Below are 9,361 nucleotides of genomic sequence, written 5' to 3'. Positions count from 1 at the left end.
ATAAAGCTTTCTTTATTTTATATTATTGATTTAATCCTGCTGTCAACCTCACATACCGAGAAGTAAGATCATCCACTGGCATTTTTTAGGACAATCTAGCTGTTTTTATTCCTATTGTCTCAAAGGGATTTTAATCGTAAGCAGAACAGTAAAGTCTAAGCTGTTGCTCTTTGCACTATCTTTACACATTTCCCCTCTCACTGAAATCATCATTGCAAAATTATAACTGAGACAGTGAAAGAGATCTGATGTAACCAACTCCATTTTGCTTCTAACCTCCAAGTTGTCCTTGTTCATTCCTGGGCACAGGCTGAACTAACCTTGGGAGAAACTTAGTTTATAGTTTAAAACAAAGACGGTAACAGCTCTCTCCCAAAACAAACCTCCTTCTTGCCTGGGGTCTAGACTGCCTTTGTAAGACTAACGAGTTAGCCACAAGATTCGAAATTATGGTTTAGGAGTCATGCAGCTGGAGGCTACAAGATTCTGACCCTCCCTAAACTGCTCCTAAGATCAGTGCTTGAGATATTTTGCAGACCCTGGGTCAGCTGGCACCACCCCGATGGATAAGCTGGCTCATCTGACCTTGTGGCTCCCACACAGGAACTGACTCAGCGCAAACGGACAGCTTCAATCCCTGTGATTTTCATCTCTGACCCAACCAATCAGCATTGTCAACTCACTGGTTTCCCCCTGTCCCCCAAACTATCCTTAAAATGTCTGATCCCCAAATGCTTGGGGAGACTGATTTGAGTAATAATAAAACTTCAGTTTCCCACACAGCCAGCTCTGCATGAATTACTCTTTCTCTATTGCAGTTTCCCCATCTTGATAAATAAAGCTCTGTATAAGCAGTGGGCAAGGTGAACCCATTGGACGGATACATCACCACTAGAGGCTCTTTTCTTCCTCTTCCTTTGGAACCAGACCTCCAGCCCTGTCATATATTTCATCTTCTCCATTTGTAGATTTTTAAAAGATATTGTTATTCCTTTCTCTGGGTCCATAATCCTCATGGACCTACATTAATGGTGTAAATGCTACAGAGGAAAGAAAACATATGGATTGCTGACCAGTAAAAGATTTCTAACATTATTCTCACTATATAAATATTTGGGCATAAACTTATGAGCATAATGATGTTCCAGACTTAATTTTTTTAAAAACTTGTGCTAATATTATTGATTTCAGTGGCTATGATTTCACTAAATTAGAGCATGTGGCTAACGTTTGCATTCTATTGGCCTTTTCCAAGGTGGCTGATAAGCTCGATTTTCATACAGTGATCGCTGTATTTTGCTGCTTCTTTATCTAGGAGCCACCCTGCTATATAAATCAATGTTTTCTAATTTTTATTTCATTTAAACAGTAACATTAAGAAGTCCAATTCAGTATACACAAGGACCACAGGGTATATTCTCAGAGCTATTGTAAATCACTGTACTGCTAATCGATTGGGAAGGTGGTTACTAGCCTGGATATAAATTCATATAATGTTTGAGTAGTATTTACTTGACAATACTAATGTGGACAGGAGGCAGGGAAATACTGGGTAGAAGAGGGTGGTTCCCTGGCAAAGGATCCACCCTCAAGCCTGGAAACCTGTGGTCCAAAATGGGAACAGGCATTCCTATTTTCATGCCCAAATGTTGCCTTTTGGCCTGCCACACCCCTGTATCCTGTACCTATATAAACTCCAAGCCCCAGGCTCCATGAGCCGAAGAACAGAGGAGCAGAGGAACAGAGGAACAGAGAAGCAGAAGAGCAGCACAGCAGAGAAGGAGACAAGAGAAGGAGTGTCTGAACGTAGAGAGGAGTTCAGCTGGGGACGATCAAAGAAAAGATCAGCCGTGGGACCTCCAAAGTCCAGGGAACATCATCTTTCCACTCCATCCCCTTTCCAGCTCCTCATCCATCCCACTGAGAGCCACCTCCATTCAGCAATAAAATCTCCCACATTTACCATCCTTCAATTTGTCCATGTGACCTGATTCTTTCTGGATGCCAGACAATGTCCCAGGTACTAAGAGGGCACTGAGCTGGTTAACACTTAAGCTGTCTGCGAACAGCAGAGCTAAAAGATAACCGTAACATGCCCACTGGGTCTTCGGGAGTTGCAGGCACCCACCCCTAGACACTATCATGGGGCTGGATCCCAAAAGTGCTTGCCCCAGCTCCTGCACCTGCACGTCTATGTACTGCTTCCCATCCTGTAAGAGGTTTGAGCACATGGTGGTTGAACAGATGAGACATACCTCTGTCACTTGTCCTGCAAGGGAGGTCAGGGAACTCTGCCATTTTAATATTGCAGTAACCCACACAATGCTGCCTATGGAAAAGAAAAAAAAAAACAACAACAGATTGTTGAGCAACTTAAAAGCATGCAATTACAATATTAGAGAATGTATGTTTCTAATAGAATTATGTTTTATTGCTTCTAAAAGTTTGTAAATTTGCTACATAGAAATGGAAATTGAGTACTCAATATAGATCTGAAAAGTTCTCAGCTCTAATTTGTTTTCTATAAACTTAAATAAATGGCATTTAGCTGCTGATATGGAGGCTGTAGAAGGGAATTGAAGCTACATTAATATTCCTAACTACATACAGTTCTTGTCCTTAAAGAAAAGATCATCATCTTTGACCAAACTCTCAGCTTTGGGAGGGAAACACAAGGGGAATCAATAGAAGAAAATAGTGGCTGTCTGGGAGAATTGTACAGTACATTTGAGAATATAGCCATAATAGAGCACCCTTGGACCCATAGATTCTTTATTTTTAAAATTCAGTTAATTATCTTATTAGTTGAGTCTAAATTAGGGCAGTTTGATGTGTTACCCTTTAAAAGAATAGGCTTTTCTAGGTACCAATATTTCTTGTAATTAACCTCATGCATTCAAAGTTCATGTTCTTAAAGTGAGGTAAAGAGATGCTTCTCAGGCAACAACAGAAATGCATGACACCAGCAAAATGAGGATAGGGCTCAATGGAAAACAATGGTGTGATAAGCATGTGCCTTGAAGACTTTTCGCCAATCTCTGCTCCACCCTTGAAGATGAAATAGTTTGCCGGATGTTCAAGCAGCCCCGTGAAAGCAGCTCCATAGAGGTTATTGTTCTCTGACAGTAATTTACTACTTGCAGGAAGCTTTTAAATAGTGGCAACTAGTACTGGGCCTGAATGGCAGAGAAGAGCGTGGGGAAGGTCCCAACAGTTCATCAGAAGCACCAACACACATGAGGCATGTTTTGGGGAAACCTGGTTCAGATGCACCTGACTGGCTCTGGGTGGCTTGGATGAGCCATCTGTTCTTCTGGAACCTACTTTATCATCCATAAAATGAAGAAGCATGTAACTACAAAGATGTCCCTCCCAACCTATACTATTCCAAGCCAACAAAGACTCATTAATAGAGTCTCAATTGCTGCTTTAACTCTTTCTTTGACTAACACAAGCAATTCCATAAAGAGTCATATTATGATACCATGCAGATTGAGTTCTCAAGCAAGAAAATGGATGAGAATTCTGTCCACGAAAGCAGTCTCTGATTGAAATAAAACATTTTGGCTACTACCACCCCAAACATTAGATCATAAAACCCTAAGCATTCAAAAGGGGTAAAATAAAGCCATATGAGTTCAGTACCCTAACATTCAAAACACACACACAGAAATACTAATACTAATACTTCGGGCCAAGATGAATATGAAGTATTAAAAGAGCTGACTTTTACGGTACTTCCATATTGACATAATGTTATTATGTTGGTACTTATAACCACTTGGACACCAGGGGCAAACTGTTGCTGGTGAAAATCTTCAAACAAGTTTATGATATTAAAATAAATTGAAATTACGATTAATAACTGAAGTTTTCAATGACTTTTATACTTCTCTTAAAAAGGTTATTCTCTTGAATAGTTTAAACCATTTGGGACCATTTAATGAAGATATATAGATTTATTTTAAGCAAATGAAAAATACAGAGATTTTGCAAAGGTAAATTATAGCTGATCTTACTTCATTTGTTACCAATTACCAATTTTGAGTCAGTGTAGTAGGATTTAACAATTTAACCAAAGAAAAGTATTAATTCAAAACAAATAGACAAAAAGTGTGATTACAGAAGATTTCATGAAAAGAGTAAACAAATAAATATGTGTCTCAAATATCGCTTTTATCTTTCCATCATAATGTTACTTTCAAAATCTTTGTTTTTTTATTTTTATTTTTATTTTTATTTTTTTATTGAGACAGAGTCTCTCTCTGTCGCTCAGGCTGGAGTTCAGTGGCACAATCTCCGCTTACTGCAACCTCTGCCTGCCGGGTTCAAGCTGTTCTCCTGCCTCAGCCTCCCGAGTAGCTGGGATTACAGGTGCCCACCACGATGCCTAGCTAATTTTTGTATTTTTAGTACAGACTGTGTTTCACCATGTTGGTTAGGCTGGTCTTGAACTCCTGACCTTAGGTGATCTGCCCGCCTCAGCCTCCCAAAGTGCTGGGATTACAGGCTTGAGTCACCACATTGAGAAATCCTTTTTTTATACTTTTTTTTTTTTTTTCCTCCTCTCATCTCATTTAAAGCAAGGGTCCTGCTTCACTGGGCAGCATATTTCAGTCTCTCTGAAATGATTGGCAGATATAGCTGCTGCTCTGAGATTTTGCCTTTTGCCAACTACGTGGTGGTGATTTTAGTAATATCTTCACATTTAAATAGATCATACCTCACAAAGCCCCCAACAGATCCTCACTTACTCATTCCTGTAGTACTTCTAGCGGAGAAGACAGGGTTTGGCTAATCATGCCCTGGAGTAGAGAAATTAGAGATCCATGAGGATATGGAGATGACAGGGAAGCCCAGCACGATGGAGTCTCGGTCACAAAGCAAAGCCACCATAAGAAATCAGAAATCCTTAAGTATTTCCAAGGTCAAATTTTTACCTTATAAATATATTGCCTCTAAAATCCTCTTCCTATTTATAATCATGCAGGAAAGGAAAGGGAGATTACACCACTTCTAATTAGGTGGACTGGTTTGCTCGAAGGTATCTAAGAGGTTCCTCAACTCCTTCCCGCTTCTCAAATTTCTGCCTCTAAAGGAAGTGAGCAGATCCATTCCAGCTACCACAGAGCTTAGCCTAGTTTAGTCCTTCAAGTAACCCTGTCACCAGGACTTGCAGAAAGTTTACAACTTACAAACTACCGCCTCCAGGGCTGAGCTGCACAAGTGCCAAAGTAAGAGTGAGGACTGTGAATGAATTTGCTTATGTTGTGACACTAAAAATTAGTTATAGTTGCAATGTCTTTTTTCTTAACAACAGAGATACCTCCTGAGAAATGTGTCATTAGGCAATTTCCTTGTTGTGAAAACATCATACACTGTACTTACACAAACCTAGATGGTACAGCCTACCACACACCTAGGTATAGCTTACTTCTCCTAGGCTGCAAACCAGTGCAGCAGGTTACTGTGCTGAATACTGTAGGTCATTGTAACATAGTGTGTTTGTTTATCTAAACATAGCTGAACATAGGAAAGGTACAGTAAAAATATAGTAAAAAAGATTTAATATGATACACCTATATAAAGCATCTATTAGTCCGTTCTTATGGTGCTGTAAGGACATACCTGCAACTGGGTTATTTATAAAGGAAAAAGGTTTAATTCACTCATAGTTCTGCACGGCTGGCGAGGCATCAGGAAACTTACAATCATGGCAGAAGGGGAAACAAACACGTCCTTCTTTGCATGGCGGCAGAAGAGAGAAGAGTAAGAGCTATGCAAAAGGGGAAGCCCCCTATAAAACCATCAGATCTCACGGGAACTTAATATTATGAAAATAGCATGGGGGAAACTGACCCCATTATTCGATTACCTCCCACTGGGTCCCTCCCATGACATGTGGGGATTATGGGAGCTACAATTCAAGATGAGATTTGGGTTGAGTCACAGCCAAACCATATCAGAGCATTTACCATGAATGGAGCTTCTAGGACTGGAAGTTGCTCTGAGTCAGTGAGTGAGTGGTGAGTGAATGCAAAAGTCTAGAATATTGCTGTGCACTACTGAAGACTTTATAAACCCTGCACTCTTAGCCTACACTAAATTTATTTTTTAATCTTTCTTCTATAACAAATTAACCTTAGCTTACTGTGACTTTTTGTTTTATAAAGTTTTTAATTCTTTAAATCTTTTTGACTTTTTTGTAATAATACTTAGCTTGAAACACAAACACATTGCACAGCTGTACAAAAATATTTTCTTTCTTTATATCCTTATTCTATAAGCTCTTTTCCATTTTTAAGATATCTTAGTTTTTTCTTTACTTTTTAAATTTTTTTGTTAAAAACTAAAACACAAACAGACACATTAGCCCAGGCTTACAAAGAGTCAGGATCATCAATATCACTGTCTTCCACTTCCACATCTTGTCCCACTGGAAGGTCTTCAGGGGCAGTAACAGGCATGGAGCTGTCATCTTCTGCGATAACAGTGCCTTCTTTGGGAATACCTCCTGAAGGACCTGCCTGAGGCTGTTTTACTGTTCATTATACACACACACACACACACACACACTCAGACATATATATACACACATAGATATATATATACATACACATATATATGTAGGAGTGCACTTTAAAGTAACAATAAAAAGTGTAGTAAATACATAAACCGGTAACATAGTCATTTATTACCATTATCAAGTATTAGGTACTGTATATAACTGTAAGTGCTAGACATCTCTAAGACTGGCAGCTCAGTAACTTTGTTTATAACAGCGTCATCGCAAACATGTAACGCATGTTGCTATTACATTAGGATGGCTATGACATCACCAGGTGACAAGAAATTTTCAGCTCCATTATAATCTTATGGGACATCCATCATATATTTGGTCCATTGTTGATCAAAACGCCATTATGTAGCACATGACTGTGTTACGTATAAAGTATGCATAAGAAACTATTGCAATGCAAAGTTTTTTTTTTTGTTTGTTTGTTTTTTTTTTTTTTTTTGAGACAGAGTCTTACTGTTGCCCAGGCTGGAGTGGAGTGGCATAATCTCGGCTAACTGCAGCCTCTGCCTCCTGGGTTCAAGCGATTCTCCTGCCTCAGCCACCTGAGTATCTGAGATCACAGGCATGTGCCACCACGACAGGCTAATTTTTGTATTTTCAGTAGAGACAGGGGTGTCATCATATTGGCCAGGATGGTCTCGAACCCCTGACCTCAAGTGATCTGCCTGCCTTGGCCTCCCAAAGTGCTGTAATTACAGCCATGAGCCACCATGCCTAGCCACAAAATTTTAATAGACTTTTTAATAGACTTACAATGTGAATGTAAGTGCTATGCATTCAAAAACTTTGCAATTGTTTGTTAGCTGGGGGGCGGGGTTTCTTAAGGATGAAAAGAGTGTACAATAAATCAAGAACAGTTTTCTTTCCTGAGTCAAAATCTGTTTCTATTTATTTAATGGGGGAAAATGATCATCATAACAATTTTTTTAATGTAATTAACATGTATTCAGAATTCAGTGTTTGGGGCTAGGAAGACAAGACAGTTGAGGACACAAGATTCCTCTGTATGTGCTATAATGAACTGTACTTTATCAAATAGACTTATTTTAGCTCAAATGCACAAAGGAATAACACTTTAACAGTCAGGTGTTAAAGTCACAGAACACTAAAAAGGTAATATGTAAAATCTAGTCCAACCACGTCATTTAAAAATATTTTAATAAACCTTTTATTTTATAATAGTTTTAAATTTACAGGAAAAAATGCAATGATAATACAGAGATTTTCCATATATCTCATATTAATTTCCTCTGTTGTTTACATCTTACATGACTACAGCACATTTATCATAAATAATAAACAATATGGATATATTTTAGTCACTAAATTTTCTTATTTATATGGATTTCATTTATGTTTCCTTAACCTCCTTTTTCTATTCCAGGATCTCATTCAAAATACCACATTTTAAAAAAATTATTTATCTAACGCAATCAACTTTTTTTTTTTCTTATAGTTTAAGTTCTGGGATACATGTACAGAACGTGCATATTTGTTACATAGGTATACACATGCCATAGTGGTTTGCTGCATCCATCAACCCGTCATCCACATTAAGTATTTCTCCTAATGCTATCCCTCCCCTAGCCTCCCACCCCCGACAGGCCTGGTTGTGTGATGTTCCGCTCCCTGTGTCCATGTGTTCTCATTGTTCATCTCCCACTTATGAGTGACAACATGCGGTGTTAGGTTTTCTGTTCTTGTGTTAGTTTGCTGAGAATGATGGTTTCCAGCCTCACCCTGCAAAGGGCATGAACTCAACATTTTTAAGGCTGCATAATATTCCATGGTGTATATGTGCCACATTTTCTTTATCCAGTCTATCATTGATGGGCATTTGGGTTGGTTCCAGGTGTTTGCTATTGTGAGCAGTGCTGCAGTAAACATACATGTGCATGTGTCTTTATAGTAGAATGATTTATAATGCTTCGGGTATATGTGCAGTGATGGGATTGGTGAGTCAAATGGTATTTCTGGTTCTAGATCCTTGAGGAATTGCCACACTGTCTTCCACAATGGTTGAACTAATTTACACTCCCACTAACCGTGTAAAAGCGTTCCTATTTCTCCACATCCTTTCTAGCATCTGTTGTTTCCTGACTTTATAATGATCACCATTCTAACTGGCATGAGATGGTATCTCATTGTGGTTTTGATTTGCGTTTTTCTAATGGCCAGTGATGATGAGCTTTTTTTTGTATGTTTGTTGGCCACATGAATGTCTTCTTTTGAGAAGTATTTGTTCATATCCTTGGCCCACTTTTTTGACGGGGTTGTTTGGTTTTTTTCTTGTAAATTTGTTTAAGTTCTTTGTAGATTCTGGATATTAGCCCTTTGTCAGATGAATAGATTGCAAAAATTTTCTCCCATTCTGTAGGTTCCCCGTTCACTCTGATGATAGTTTCTTTTGCCGTGCAGAAGCTCTTTAGTTTAATTAGATTCCGTGTGTCAATTTGGGCTTTTGTTGCCATTGCTTTTGGTGTTTTAGTCATGAAGTCTTTGCCCATGCCTATGTCCTGAGTGGTATTACCTAGGTTTTCTTCTAGGGTTTTTATGGTTTTAGGTCTTATGTTTAAGTCTTTAATCCATCTTGAGTTAATTTTTGTACAAGGTGTAAGGAAGGGATCCAGTTTCAGCTTTCTGCATATGGCTAGCCAGTTTTCCCAACACCGTTTGTTAAATAGGGAATCCTTTCCCCATTGCTTGTGTTTGTCAGATTTGTCAAAGATTAGATAGTTGTAGATGTGTGGTGTTATTTCTGAGGCCTCTGTTCTATTCCTT

The 9,361-nt window shown here is 38.7% G+C and overlaps 1 long non-coding RNA gene across 1 annotated transcript in view; it reads right to left on the bottom strand.

Moving 5' to 3' along the window:
• Nucleotides 1–896: 896 nt before the first annotated feature.
• LOC105379371 (uncharacterized) overlaps nucleotides 897–9,361 on the bottom strand; it is a 73,309-nt gene continuing 64,844 nt past the window's right edge. The window contains exons 3-4 of the long non-coding RNA XR_949668.2: nucleotides 2,256–2,329; nucleotides 897–1,040 (exon numbers count right to left, since the gene is read on the bottom strand). This is a non-coding gene — a long non-coding RNA (uncharacterized LOC105379371). The remainder of the gene's footprint in view (nucleotides 1,041–2,255; nucleotides 2,330–9,361) is intronic.

Source organism: Homo sapiens, chromosome 8 (assembly GCF_000001405.40).
Source record: "Homo sapiens chromosome 8, GRCh38.p14 Primary Assembly".
Lineage (NCBI taxonomy): Eukaryota > Metazoa > Chordata > Mammalia > Primates > Hominidae > Homo > Homo sapiens.
The sequence above is the reverse complement of the archived record's forward strand: the minus strand, read 5'-3'. Positions and strand labels throughout refer to the sequence as shown.